General features: G+C 37.6%; 1 long non-coding RNA gene across 1 annotated transcript in view; it reads right to left on the reverse strand.

Annotated features, from left to right (window-relative positions):
- Positions 1-5,176: 5,176 nt before the first annotated feature.
- The window catches only part of MIR924HG (MIR924 host gene), a 545,072-nt gene continuing 534,803 nt past the window's right edge, over positions 5,177-15,445 (reverse strand). Inside the window, exon 4 of the long non-coding RNA NR_024391.1 lies at positions 5,177-7,042. This is a non-coding gene — a long non-coding RNA (MIR924 host gene). The remainder of the gene's footprint in view (positions 7,043-15,445) is intronic.

A 15,445-nucleotide genomic window follows, 5' to 3' on the forward strand; every position in this document is an offset into this window, starting at 1 on the left:
TTTTTCTAAAGATTCCTATTGTTATTCATAAGGTTTATATCAAACATTTCACACATACATTCTCATACACACCCTTATGCATAGACTTTATGGCTAGCCCTTTTGAATGCTAGGGTAGTTGACCTCCCCACTCTTTGCCTCCACTGATAAAACTCTGTAACCATCAAAGTAGACTCCATTCTACCAAAGAATCAATGACATGGGTTCAGTGTAGGGTCAGGGTCCTACCCATTGAACAGGAGATAGAGAAGCATGATGTAGTAATTCCTTCGATGGTGTATTCTGATATGACACACATTATCTCAACCACTTGTATCTACCTCTACTTCTCTGTGATGCTAACAAAGGAAGATTACAACTCACCCTGCTTCCTGGAGGCCAGCAGAAATAATCTTCTCCATCTTTTCCTCTTTTGCTTCCCGGTGTTGGACTGCTCAGGTGAAAAAGGAAACATTTTGAGGGACAGTCCTTAGTTGTGCAGAAGATAATCCTGACTGGAGCTGGTTCTTTCCTCATCAAGACATTTTCTGATTTCCCTTTGATGGAGGCATTCTGGAGATTGGGTGTGAGACCAACATTGCTAGTCATCAGTGAGGGGATCATATCTCTGGCTGGTACATGTTGTACCACTGCAATCACATTGTATCCTGTTGTTTAAAAGTACCCTTGTTCCTCATGTTTGAATGACAGTTGGTAAAGATAACCACTTTCTCTTCTGGGAAACACATTAAAAAGTAAAGTCAAGCCACATGGTTTTGGATGGGAGGCAAAAGGTCAAATACGAAAGCTAACCTTTAGCAGAACGACTGGTGCAAGTAGTGGAAGCTGAGAGTAATAAATAGAGACCCCCTCCAGGGGTTTCCAGACACAAACCTTTGGCTCCATTCAGCTTGAGGGGGCAGCAAGTGGAACTGTACATCACTGAACTAAAATACAATGTATGTGTTTAAGAGCAAGTGGCACGGAGATAGTCGAGTCTTGGCTTCTGACCTCTTCTACTGAAGTCAGACTTTGATTTTGGCATGGAAACACCTAGAATAGAGATTCCGCGGGCAGAATGGTAGCGCCTGATCTGTGTGCAGGCCACAGAGCATCTTCTTCCTCTTCATGTTCGTGCCCCTCTTTGTCCTCTGAGCATTTATGCCTAGAGTTTCTACTGACTGGAGCATTCTCTGCCTTTCCATCTCCTCTGCTTTGGCTACTTCAGGTTTCAGATTAAAGATTCTTTTCCAGAAAAACATTTCCAATTGCCCCACTTTACTCCATATCTGGGATAGCTTCCCCTTTTATGTATTTACAGAGTCCAGGGGTTTCTCTTATCATACTCATTTATTAATTCTAGCATCACTTTTTAGCAGTTAGTATAAAGACCTTGTTATCTTATTCTCTCCTATTGCCCCAATACATGACACAAAGTAGGTATTTCTCAAGTATATATTGTATAAATAATAATGTATTATTATTATAATTATTAATAAACAATCTCAATATCCTTTAAACACTTTATGTTTACTCTTTTCTTGAGCCCTGAGAGAACTGATACTTTTGAGACAAAAGGTAGTCTCCCACCCCTATATACCTAAACAAAAGCATCCCATTAAAACAGGTAAGTATGGTTTAGCTCACATAACAACAATAAAAAATAGATATGAATAGTAAGTCTATGCCAAGGATTGTTCTACATGTTTCATTGTGCTCTCTATCTAGTCCCTGGTAAGAGGAGTGCTCTCATTTCCTTTCAACTTGCACGTTACCACAGTGGTTCCAATTCAGAGCTAAAATCCAACTCAAGTTCACTGACTTTGAAGCTTAGACTTGTGCTATTCTCCACGCTGAGGATCAGCCAAAATCTTCCTTACATATTGCTGGCAATGTGAACAAGAGGAAAAATGGAAGACCCACAAAAAGCATGGCCCTCAGAGTCAGAAGACATGATCTCTAATCCTGCTTGGGAGCTTGGGCAAACCACTTCATCTCTTAGAATAGGGAGCATGGACATAATGTTTAACAAAAAAAAAAGGTCCCTGCAGCCATTCTCTTATGTTGCATGGTCCAAATGAGACTATTCCAAATGCTCATGATTCCAAATGCATCAGGTTTCTCTGCTATGAGGTTCCCATTTGGGAGATGGGCTATGTGTGCACACCCTGGGTTGCACTCTCATAGCGTGTCTTCCCTGGGCCAATTTCTGGACACTCTCCTTATTGCTTCCATTTTAAAAACAGTATTATTTATACCTTGTTGATCTTTGCCATTCTAAAAGGCAAATGTGCTTACATTTATGTATTCTCCTAATATCCTGCTAAGAGCTTTGTACAAAAGAAGTGTTTATAAATATTTATTGAGATAGTGCTTATTAGCAAAAATTCTTTGAGTGCTAATATGGGCTGAGAAAAATAATGACCATCAAAATACACTTTGAGCTCTCATTCTAGTAGAGCATCAGTAGTGAGAAAGCAAAGCTTAAATGATTTCTGTATTTAAAGTATTAAAACACCCCCAGGAGCGATCAGATTTCTTGGTTTCCTGAAAGCTCCTTAGACTCTGTCATTTGGCATGTGGAAGCATTTTGCTAGGAAGGGTTTTCCTTGTTCTGCTGCGATAAGCCATAAAAGAGAAACTATTTTGCTAGCACAATAAAACCCCTAGCATAAACATCCTTTAAAGAATCTTCCATTTGATTGCAGAGGAATTTTTTCAGTATTAAAATGGAATTTTTTTCAATAAAAAATGCTACAAAACTTCTAAAGTTCTTTATTTCCTCTAAAAGTTACTTCCTCAAGAAGGTCAAGTTTGGTAGAACATAAGATAATTCCCTTCTTTGTTTGCAATGCTGACACAATAAAGCAAGGTACTTACCTCCACTGTACTCTGTACCCAAGTCTTGTGTGACCCTCTATCAGTTTCAATGCCATCTCAAGGCTCCAGAATACACCATCACCACACACACCTTCAAGAAGGGAAAAGGCAGAAGCAAGCAACTTCTTTTGATGGAAACATTTTTGTCCCAAACCCATTCCTGATATAAAAAATGAATTGATTAATCAGTTAGAGGTTTTAAATGATACTTATTTGCAGAGTCATAGGAGGGGTTTGAAACAGCATTTTAGAAAATTTGGGGGAAAAGCAGGAACATGACAGCAGAAATAAAACACCAGGAGCAGGAAAGGGCAGAACACTTGCATGAGTCTTTTGCCAAATTAACTCATGCTTTTAGGATGTATAGAACAGAGATTTGCTGGCTTGCGTCACTGCAAATAAATAGTATGTCTCAGTGAAGAGGTTATGACTTTCAAAACAAAACAAAACAAAACAAAACAAAACAAAACAAAACAAAACAAAAATAATCGGAAACATCAAAGCCTGTTACTTAAAATATGAGAATAGGTTGTTTTCCATGCTGGTTCCTTCCTTTTTTTTTTTTTCTTTTCTTTTCTCTTTTTCCTTTTTTTCTTATACTAACGCCGAATTCCAGAAACTAATCTACACCTACAGAATAGTGAACTTTGCACTTTTCATAAAATGTTTGGGGAAAGAGGGCACTATTGTGTCTACACAGCCTATTTACAGCAAACAAAGACGATGTTAGAAAAAAATGCTTATATTTTGCATTTGGTTAGGTGTGATTTTGAATTTTGACTTTACTGATTATGTAATGTAGGGCCAGTCACTTTGTTAATGAGAACCTCAGTTTTCTTATTTGTAAAATATCACTAATAAATCCTAACACCATAAATATACATATTTTCCAGTGCTTAATAAATAGCAATTTCAGGAGCATAAGAGGTGAAGGCCACCTCTTCTGATTGGGGGAGGGCCCTGCTGCCTTTAAGGACAGTACATGACACAAAGCAAATTAAACAACAAAGGCCAAATGAGCTACTGGTCTAAGGTTGTGAAACCAGACTCAGTGGAGGACTGTGGATTGTGAGGTCAATGTGAGACATTAGTTTCAGGAACGTGGGGAAAAGTAAGTAGAGAAACAAAAACGGGGAGATGATGAGTTGTAAAAACTGTGTCTACTTCCTAGTTTCACCAATTCTGATTCAATTCTGACTCTGTGACTCAGCTCCCTGTGGGGCCAAACCTTGATCTAATTGCTGCTTTCTGCCCTGGATATGCTATATGCGTTGCTTACACAAGGGTGTGTTGATTGGTGCACAAGCCACTCCAGAGCAGAGCAAACCACGTTGCTCTGACACTGCTCTGCACCATAGTAGTCGGCTTTGATGTTCAAGTTCCTTCTTAACCAAATTATGAATGCTCTACTTCTCTCCATTGCCACCGTAATGAACTTTAACAATAATTATACTCAGGGCCTCTTTGGAGTAGATTTTTTGTCTCCTTAGGTGCCTGTACTCTTCTGGATGTTGCTAATCCAGGAGAAAATGTGACAATATAGCTGGGTGCAAAGACAACAGGAAGCTTCACCTGACTGAGAAACACAGAAGAATGCAAGCAGCCAAAAACTAGTTAATGGGAGAGAAGCAGAGAGCATATACTTTGAACGAACATAGTATCTGAAATGTTTGGAATATAAGATTTTCCATCTCTGCTTTATCTTTTCAAGTCTATGCCATGTAAGATTCAGGCAGCAGGTTTGTGCAATGTAAATAAGATTGGATACCATTAGTGTACCAAATTCCCCAACAGTCCCTGCAAAATATTTTGTTATGTCTTTCATGTGTTTGGTGTTCTACATGTTTTCAATCCACTTTCACATGTCACACACAGATCTCTTAACAAATTAGCAACAAACACAAGTCTCTTTTTTAATTTTATTTATTTATTTATTTTTGAGATGGAGTCTCACTCTGTTGCCCAGACTGAAGTGCAGTTGCGCAATCTCAGCTCACTGCAACTTCTGCCTCCTGCATTCAAGCGAGTCTCCTGCCTCAGCCTCCAGAATAGCTGGGATTACAGGCACATGCCACCATGCCTGGCTAATTTTTGTATTTTTAGTAGTGACGAGGTTTCACCATGTTGGCCAGGCTGGTCTTGAATTCCTGACCTCAGGTGTTCCACCCACCTCAGCCTCCCAAAGTGCTGGGATTACAGGTTTGAGCCACTGAGCCCAGCCCAAACACAAGTATCTTAATTACTTATTCGAATGTTTTCCCACTATATCCCACTAGAGGGAGGGGAAAAAAAACAGAAAATACAAATAAATTGCTGTCAATTTTGATTGGCTTTATTTTGATGTGAGTCATTAACATTTAATAAGAACTTAAAATCTATTTTCAAAAAATAAAACAATATAGTGATTAAGAGTTCATTCTCTATTGTCTTGGTCAAATTCTGTCATTTATTACATGAATAATATTGACAAAGTTGTCTTTAGTATTCCTTTCTTTAAAATGGAAGGAATAATGTTATCCACTTCAAAGAACAGTAATGAGGTTTAAGCATTGAACACAGTGCCTGGCCTATATTAAGGGCTAACAAATGTTTTCTACGTTACCGTTTGTTGTAATTTACTAGAGCTTACCACTCTTCCTTCTTCTTATGTATTTTTTCTCTTTTCCTTTTCTTCTGCTTTTCCTTATTCTTCTTAACCATAAAAATTCAATAAATGGTAGATAATGCCAGGAAATACTCTAAATGCTTCTTTTGTATTATCTGACTTAATCCTCACCACAATCTTATAGGTTAGTACTATCATTATTACAATTTTACAAATGGAATAATTGAGGCACTAAAAAGGTTGCTTAACCTGGTTGATCACTGAGATAGTGTTTTATCTGAGATTTGTATTCAGAAAGAACTATGTAGTCCTGCTCATAAGCACTATGCCATATTGCTTCTTACTTTAGTATTTTTAACATCAGAGCAAGGTTTTATCTTAAGTTACAATGCAACATTAAAATCTAAGTGGAAATGAGATTTAGAGCTTTAATTTTTTAAAGGATTGAGAAAGAAAGGAAAAATCGTACATACCAGCTTCATGGATGAGGTGAGATAATTAAGAGAAAGGATACTGAAAGGCTAGAACAAATGTCCTTGAGGCTGTCTGTGTCCGGTGCCTTCCCTATAAGTAAAGGCAACAAGCTCTGTCTGTCCAGACAAACTCACTTGACTCAAGGTTATGACTATAAAACAGGACTCCACAACAACATAGCTGTCCATGTCCTTCCTTCTTTCGGTCAACCTCTTCTAATCCTGCAAGTGTGAACTTTGCTTCAGCACGTGCTTCAGTCTATGGAAACTGTCTCCTCCAAGCTCTGCATCTCACTGATTGTTCTGTTTTCATGGAAGTCCAGATGGCTGCTGGAGGTTTACTTGAGGTCTCTTTCTGTAGGATATAGTTATACTTTTGTCAACTCGGTGGTACATAAGTTTGTTCACTCTAAAAGAAGTTGCCTTAAAAAAAAAAGCTTTCAGATGTTAGAGAGAACTGAGATGCTGATGTCAACACATGAAAAATTAGATGCTTAACAATGCAAGAATACTTATGGTATAGATTTTAACATAATTATCAATACATTCCTTTCAGCTATTTTCTCATTTTAATTGCATACAGTTTATGTCTTTGTTTTATGTAGCTTTTTTTGATGAAAAGAGAATGGAAGCAGCAAGATGAAAATGAAAGAATTATGCAAAGGAACCGAAGCCTTGCCAAATACAGAATTTGTGGTTTCTACTTTGTGCATGATTTATGCACAATTACATTTTTCAATGTATTATCCTGCAAGCTACTTTGCTGTATACTCCTGGTTTGTCTTTCTGGTGTCTGTGTTTGGATTGAGACAAATATGCTTCTTTTGTTTTCATTCTTGAAGCCAATAACTTTTTAGGGAGATGTGGAATTTCTTTATTTTAGATTAAGCACTATCCGTAATTCCTTGTATTACATTTGGCTTGATGTTGAAGAACTTTGTCACCACTCTGGTTGGTCTCCGCTGAACTTTTGCCAAGAATAAAAGCAGATCCACTTCAAAAGCTGATCTTTTTTGCTGCTCAAGATTAAATCCAGAATTTAGCTGGTTTCTGCCTTAGCTTGGTCAACAGATAAAGGGTCAAGACTGGAAAATTGCTTGTACCCCTAGGAGACATGGATAGGAAAAAAAGACTGATGAGTTTTTAAGGTACAAACAGAGACCATCACAGCACATTTCACCACCTAGATTAAATAACTACTAGGCTGAAGATGGAAAGTAAAAGGGAAGTCACATATTGAGCAAGAGATGTTACCCCAAAGTCAAAGGAACACTTATATGGGGAAATGGACAAATACAAGCAGGCAGACAATCATGATTAGGGATGATATGTCAACAGGAAATGGGATCCAGCCATCAGGCTCAGCTTTATTGCTACGACTACAAGTCAGGAGATTATGATCATAGCAGAACTACAGTTCTAGAGGATGCTAAAAATGCACGCTGCCAAATTGGTGGAGAGGTGTAGTGTTTGGCGCTGGCTTCTAGTGCAAAACTCTGTTACCAGAAGTCTTACTCATGGAGGTAAGAAAGGGAATTAAGGTATTTGAATGAGAAAGACTGGTGTTTAGGACAGGAAAACATCATCACGTTTAGATGAACAGTCAGTCGGGGAAGCATGATGGAAAACCATATAATGATTCTAAAAGGGCTTGGATATGTCATGTCTCATGTCAGTATTAGCCTTGGTGTTTGGAAGAGAAGCAGCATAAATGATAGGATTTAGTATGGCCCACTGGGAATTTTCTAATATTTATCTTCTACCTCCTAGAGTATGAAATCATGACAGAAAATATAAGCAGTTGTCTGACATTCAATTACTAGCTGAAAAAGGAAAGCAGAAACTAATGCTCTCTAATCATACTTTATATCACAAATGTGAGATGATTATAAAACATGCAACATCCATTTTCTCTATCTGCATGGGCAGTCTACAGAACTTTAACAATAGTATGTCTCCTTCTTTTTTTCTTTACCTAAGTCCAAGTGCTTCAAATGTCCTTACCCTCCAGTTCATAAATGTCCTTACCCCCCAGTTCATAAATGTCCATAATTTCTACATCTTCTTCATCTCTATTAATAATTTTTCTATCTTAATAACCTTGATTTTATTGAAAAAGTGATGAACTCATTTTTGGTGCATTGCCTAAGACACAGGCTGTCAAATCTTTCTTTCCAGGTATTTTGTCCCATTAAAATCAGTGAAAAGATTCTGTATTTTTTTTTTCCTCGTGCTCTGTGGTTTTGTTCTGTTTTATTTGGAGCTCCAAAACATACAGTTAACCTTTATGAAAACTATTTCTTTTCTGTATTTAACATAATCCAGCATCTTAACTTAGAGATGAAGGAATCAGAGCTATCCTAAATTTCACCAGAAATTAAAGGAACAGGAAATCGAGTTTATAATCTGAAAGGCCTATGCTCATTTCTGGGCTATACCTTTAGAAGTGCAGCTCTGGCAAAGCTATTTTTTTCAAAGTTCCCCAGATAATTCTAATGTTAAATAACCACTTAGGTTTATATCTATTCTTAATTTTTCCTGAATATTCTTAGGCTAAAAGGAAGATCTTTTTACCTAGCTAAGAGAAGGATAGTACTTCAAATTCAGTAATTTATGAATAGAACTTCATATTCAGTAATTTATGTTGGAAAATGACATGTGACATATATGTGTATGTATATATATGTATATATATGTGGGTGGGTGGGTGGGTGTGGATGAGTGTATGAGTGCATACACTCACACCTGTGTAGGTGAATGTTAAGTATTTCAAACTAGCTTAGCAAAATACTACAAGCAACAATTTTTTAAGTTGGTTATGAGTAGGCAAGTGCTACACTTAGAGATATGCAGCCAACAACCCCTCACATCAATGTGTTGTGATTTTGTTCTTTCTCCATTTCACACTATAATAGTTAGGCTGACTATTCACAACACCTCCTTTAATTGTTGTCCTTAACCACAGATGCTTCATTTTCTTGGGTCATATAATTGGTATTTCAATATCAAACATCTGACACACAGCAACTCCAGATGAGAGATGGAATATTTGGATTGGGACTAACTGGGGTGTAGCAGGTTGATAAGAAAATTGAACTCTGTTTGTCCCATCCCACTCTCACCTTTTATCTCTCAATGCTTTTCTCCTAAAAGTGTCATGTAGAAAATAGATCAGATAAGATCTCATGCAAGACTCTACACTAAGACCCCAAAAACAGAAACTGTGCTCAAGAAATGGGCTGATGTCTCTGGCAGCAAGATGTGTATAAGAAGTTATGACCAATTGCAGACAAGAGCTCAGGTATCAGAAGGGTGACCATGTATCATAATTTTATTAGTAAAACCTCACTTTAATAAAAGAGTATCTGATTCACATGTATTTGTGTTAGATTTACCTTTGCACCAGAGCAAGCAAAATAGTAGGAGAGAAAAATGGACTCAAAAAATTGCAATGCACAGTGAAAAGAGCAATAATAGCATGGACCCAATTCAAAGGTTAAAAAAAAATGTACAGAATATTTGGGTAGACAATTTCAAAAGAAACTTAGAGGGTAGCATTTTTTAAAGAAATAATTATTTCCCCAATTTTATTTAAAATGGGCAAGAAGTAGAAAAATACTGATAGTTTAATCATCCAGAGAAAAAGCATCACTAAAATTTTAGTACACATCTGTATCAGTCAGTGTTTACCCAGAGAAATAAAACCAGGAGGATTTTAAGAGATTTATTGCAAAGAATTGGATTATGCCATTGTGAGAGCTGGCTAGGTAGGTCAAAATCCAGAGGACAGGGCATCAGGAAGGACCAGCTGGAAAATACGAAGCACAAGCTGAAGCTTCATTTCACAAGAAGAACTTCTTCTTTTTTTTTTTTTTTTTTACTTCTGCTCAAAGGCCTTCCAATCAATGGAATCAGTCCCACCCAGATTATCTATGATAATCTCTTTTAAAGTCAACTGTAGATGTTAATCATACCTACAAACTACTTTCAGAGCAACACCAAGTTTAATGTGTAAATAGCTGAGTACTATAACCTAGCCAAGTTGATACATAGAACTGGCCATCACAGTTCACTTCTTGTCAACTGGGCACTCACATACAGCTCCTCAAGACATGCTTAATCTACAAATAATCATAATAACAAAGTCATTTTTTCCACCTGTAATTATAGTACTACACTCGGCACACCAAAAACCACTAACTCTGAAAAAAAAAGAATGGAAAGTCTTTGAGTGATTTTCCCTAGTCTTCTTAATATCCTGTAACTTAAATATTGTGATATAAAGTTACCTGCTATTAATACACTTTGTGTTAGATGATAGTGAGAATATGAGAGGAAATACAGATGATACCTGAACAATTTGGAGCTTTGGCACATTAACCCCTCACAAAGTTGAAAATCTGTGTGCAACTTTTGACTACCCCAAAACTTAACCACTAATAACCTACTGTTGACTGGAAGCCTTGATAATAACATAAACAGTCAATTAACACATATTTTGTGTGTTATATGTATGACTGGGCTGGCCGCGATGGCTCACACCTGTAATTCCAGCACTTAGAGAGGCCCAGACTGGTGGAATCACTTGAGCTCAGGAGTTCAAGACCAGCTGGGCAACATGACAAAACTCTGTCTCTACAAAAAATACAAAAACTAGCCTTGTGTGGTGGTGCACACCTGTAGTCCCAGCTACTTGGGAGGCTGAGGTGAGAAGATCACCTGAACCCAGGAAGGTTGAGGCTAAAGTGAGCTGTGATTGCATCTCTGTACTACAGCCTGGGCAACAGAATGAGACCCTGTTTCAGGAAAAAAAAGTAAGCTTGAGGAAAGAAAATATTATCAATAAAGTCATAAAGAAGAGAAAATATATTTAGTATTTGTTAACTGAATAATAAAAGTCTTCATCCTCATTATCTTCATGTCGAGTAGGCTTAGGAGGGGAAGAAAGAGAAAGAATTGGTCTTGCTATCTCAGGGGTGGCAAAGGGAGAAGAAAATCTGCATAGAAATGAACCTGTGCAGCTCACACCTGTCTTGTTCAAAGATCAAATGTATCTGCCACATATTTATAACAAATTAAAGTAGAAATGTTCATTATCATTACTGCCTTTATTTCTGCAGCAGGTCATATGGTTGTACCTTGTTCTTTGCCTGATGGGGCTACCCAAATCTTTAGTGCTGAAAGATTTGGGCCATTATACATTCTGCTTAAACTGTGTTGCTGTAGTTTTCCGTTGCTATCAGGGAACCTGCCCCAATAGTCACGTAGGTTCTTTTCTATTTTCCTTAAGCATTGGCCAGTTTGAGAAATAAAGGGACAGAGTACAAAAGAGAGAAATTTTAAAGCTGGGCGTCCAGGGGAGACATCACATGTCAGTAGGCTCCGTGATGCCCCACAAGCTGCAAAACCAGCAAGTTTTTATTAGGGACTTTCAAAAGGGGAGGGAGTGTATGAATAGGTGTGGGTCACAGAGATCACGTACTTCACAAGGTAACAGAATATCACAAGGCAAATGGAGGCAGGGCAAGATCACAGGACCACAGGACCAGGGTGAAATTAAAATTGCTAATGAAGTTTCGGGCACCATTGTCATTGATAACATCTTATCAGGAGACAGGGTTTTGAGAGCAACCAGTCTGATCAAAATTTATTAGGTGGGAATTTCTTCTTCCTAGTAAGCCTGGGAGTGCTATGGGAGACTGGGGTTTATTTCACCCCTACAGTCTACAGACCATAAAAGATGCCCACACCCAAGGGGGCCATCTATAGGCCCACCCCCAGGCGCGTATTCTCTTTCCCAGGGATGTTCCTTGCTGAGAAAAAGAATTCAGAGATATTTCTCCCATTTGCTTTTGAAAGAAGAGAAATATGGCTCTGTTCTGCCTGGCTCACCAGCGGTCAGAGTTTAAGATTATCTCTCTTATTCCCTGAACAATTGCTGTTATCCTGCTCTTTTTTCAAGGTGCCCAGATTTCATACTGTTCAAACACACATGCTCTACAATTTGTGCAGTTAACGCAATTATCACATGGTCCTGAGGCGACATACATCTTCCTCAGCTGACAGGATTAAGAGATTAAAGTAAAGACAGGCATAGGAAATCACAAGGGTATTGATTGGGGAAGTGATAAGTGTCCATGAAATCCTCACAATTTATGTTTAGAGATGCAGTAAAGACAGGCATAGGAAATTATAAAAGTATTAATATGGGGAATTAATAAATGTCCATGAAATCTTCACAATCCACGTTCTTCTGCCATGGCTTCAGCTGGTCCCTCCGTTTGGGGTCCCTGACTTCCCGCAACACATTGCTTTTAATTACAGGAAATGACAGTACCGAAAGATGCTCTGAAGAATCTTCTATATTCTGGACATACTGTACCTTACCCTTATTTTGTGACAGATAGCAACTCAATTTTCCTCTGACAATCAGGATCAATTACCTCTGCTGGTATAGTAACTCATTTGTTTGTCTGTTTATTCAGAGGCATGAGGAGCCCAATGTGCCCAGATGTCAGTCTCAACTTTTAGTTCAATAAATTTATTGTTGTATTACAGAAGCAGTCTTTTCTTTGTTAGTAATAGCTTGGCACCAGGAGAGCATATGTAAAGGAAAGAAGAGACAAATTTTAAAATATTAAATAAACACCAATGAAAATGTGTTATAAAATATTTATAAAATATAAATGTTATTCAAAAATAAAATATAAAATATTAACCATGCCTCTTCAATTCCCTTTGGTTACTCTTATCATGAGATGTGTATTTCTATCCTTTTACTTTTAAGCTATTTAGATCCTTTTACTTAAAGTATCTTTCAACTAGGTACCATTAACTTTAATTTACATTGTTTATTCTATATTACAATCTCTGCCATTACTTTAGACCACTTATATTTAATGTAATTACTAATATATTTTTTAATTGGCCCTCTTGCTGTCTGCTTTTGTTATGGTCTGCTTTTTTTTTGCTTCCTTTTTTTCCCTGCAGAATATGAAATTAACTGGACTTTGGAAATCATTACATAAGTTGGCCATGCACTGAAACATGGGATTCCTAAGGTAAGACAGCTTTGTACATGGAGAAAGTCAAGATCTTATTCAATTAATGAACTTATATTGGAGTTGAATTGCACAAGAGCTGCCTATGTGATATTCAGGTAGTGATGGCTAATATGAAGTCAGAGTATAGCCAAGTTGTCTGAGCTTGATATTTTGATTTGAGGGTCCACATGGTTTGAGGAAATACATGGTAGATGGAACCATGGATGGGCAACATATAAATGCCATTTTCTTTGCAAAATATGTAGAGAGAAGAGCAGAAGAAAAAAGAAGAACTTAAAGTCCTACATACATTTTGAGTATGGTTAGAATAAACGAATGGTGAGAAAATACATCAAGAGATGTCTAGAAAGGTAAAAGGAGAGAATGAAAATATAGGGAGAAAAAAATGGAAAAGAAGATATTGGTCCATAGTATTAAATATTGCTCTAGAGCAATAAGGACTAATATTTTTGGATTGAGCAGTTATCTTAGCAGTAAGAGCATCATATTATCTGGATGGACATCTGATTATAGGAGTGGAGGAGGAAGATTGTAAGATCAAAGATTTATTGAGTACAGGGGACAAAAGTCAAAGGGATACAGAGTTGTATGCCTATCAGGTTCAGCATAGCACCCTTGGTCATGTTGATCTCAGATAAAGTGGCTACTGGCCAGAAAGGCTGGTAACATCAGGGTTGATACTGAAAGTTCAATTTAGGATGAAATAATGAGGATGATATTTAGAGTGAGATCTTCATTTTAAGACTTAATTTGATTGCAACAAACAGTGCTAACATGTTTTTGTTTACTTTGATTAGGTGGAAGCTGCAGTGTACATAGACTTGATTGAGCCATCTTAAAGCTGCAGTCTCAAACACCTAACACTAGATTCACTTCACATAGTTATCTCCTGACTATTAAGTTAAAAAGGTGAAAAGAGGTATCCTGAGATTAGGGTGAGGGCATCAAGTGAAGAGAGGGGGAAAAATTTGTCTAAGTAATTCTGACACTTATTCCTTCAGCCCATGTAGTGACGGGGGAAGTACGTTATGAATTCAGATTACCCTTTTACCCCTTTTTGTCAAAAAAAAAAAGAAGTGGATGAGTGACGGTAAACATATATCACAGAAGTTTTTATTAATCAGAGACGTTTTCAGGAGGGAGCAACCAGTTGTCCGAATTTATTGTTAGTCATGCAGGTAATGTTCTGAAACAAGTAAGTAATTTTTAGTCACTATTTTAGACATGTCACTGTAAAATGTGAATTCTGGTTCAAGTACATATCACACCCCATTCACTTCTGTACCCCAGGAGGTTTCTTATGATTAATGTTATTCCCAGGATTGTCAAAAGATTAATAATTAGCTACCTATAGCCAGAAACACAGATAAGCCACCTGCTTTCCCTTCCCAATTCATTTCCTTCCTTTGTTTAATCACACAATGAAACAATTATCTTCCATTCGTGACATCGAAATCACTCCCATAGCAACAGGCATCTCCTTCTAATACTTCAGTGTGGAAAGAATCAGAGAGCAGATATGGATTTTTGAAGGACAAAGAACATATTTTTATATAAATACACCAACAACCAGCAATTTCTAGGAGAAAGAAATAGAGAGGAATAGGGATATCTCATAGATCAGGCTTTCTTTTTAAATGTTAATTTTTATCTGACTGTAAACTTCATCTTTTAAAGCCTTTCTCCCATTATTATCATCATACCTTGAGTGCTTACAGCTGAATACTAGTTCTCTCTGACCTTTCTGGAGTCATAAGCCATCCTTTCTCTTTGTCACTGTGATAATGGAATGGATCAGATTCTTCCTGCAGACATTATAATGGAGTTCAACTGTCTATGGCATACACTAATGAAAAATGTTAAACCTTTCTTGTCTCCACCAAGTGCCGCCACAGCACACAGCAGATGCCCTGCCTGTAGATGCCCATATGGCAAGCTGGTATCGGTGATATTTTCTCTAATGTCAAGGGAGCCTGCTGCATGGAAAGGATGTTGTGGGTGCCATTTGGAGGCTTAGGTACAAGTGCTTCGAGTGAGAGCCACTTTATCTGTCTCTGCCTGTCCCCCCTCTACAGTGCCAGCTAGTCAGTCATTGGCAGATAAGTGGGTCTCTCTGCTGTGTGATTTCAGGGACACTGGAAGCCCTTTCACTACCCCATCCCCCCCAACACACAATATCTATTGTCTTACAGATGTCTGATGTTCCTTTAATCGTCTGCCAAAAAATAAAACAAAAATCAAAACTGAAAAATAATGTATGAAATGCAACACTGCAGAGGACACATGCTGACTTAAATCTTCCTTATACAGATATCATTATAAATCATGGGTATTCTGCTTCTCAAAGAAAAATGCACTGTGGGCTATGTGCCATTAAAAAAATGGGGTAGCTAAAGTGAGTGGAGAGAGATAATAATGTTTTTTTAAATTCACTCCTGAAGCCA

Source organism: Homo sapiens, chromosome 18, assembly GCF_000001405.40.
Source record: "Homo sapiens chromosome 18, GRCh38.p14 Primary Assembly".
NCBI classification, from domain to species: domain Eukaryota; kingdom Metazoa; phylum Chordata; class Mammalia; order Primates; family Hominidae; genus Homo; species Homo sapiens.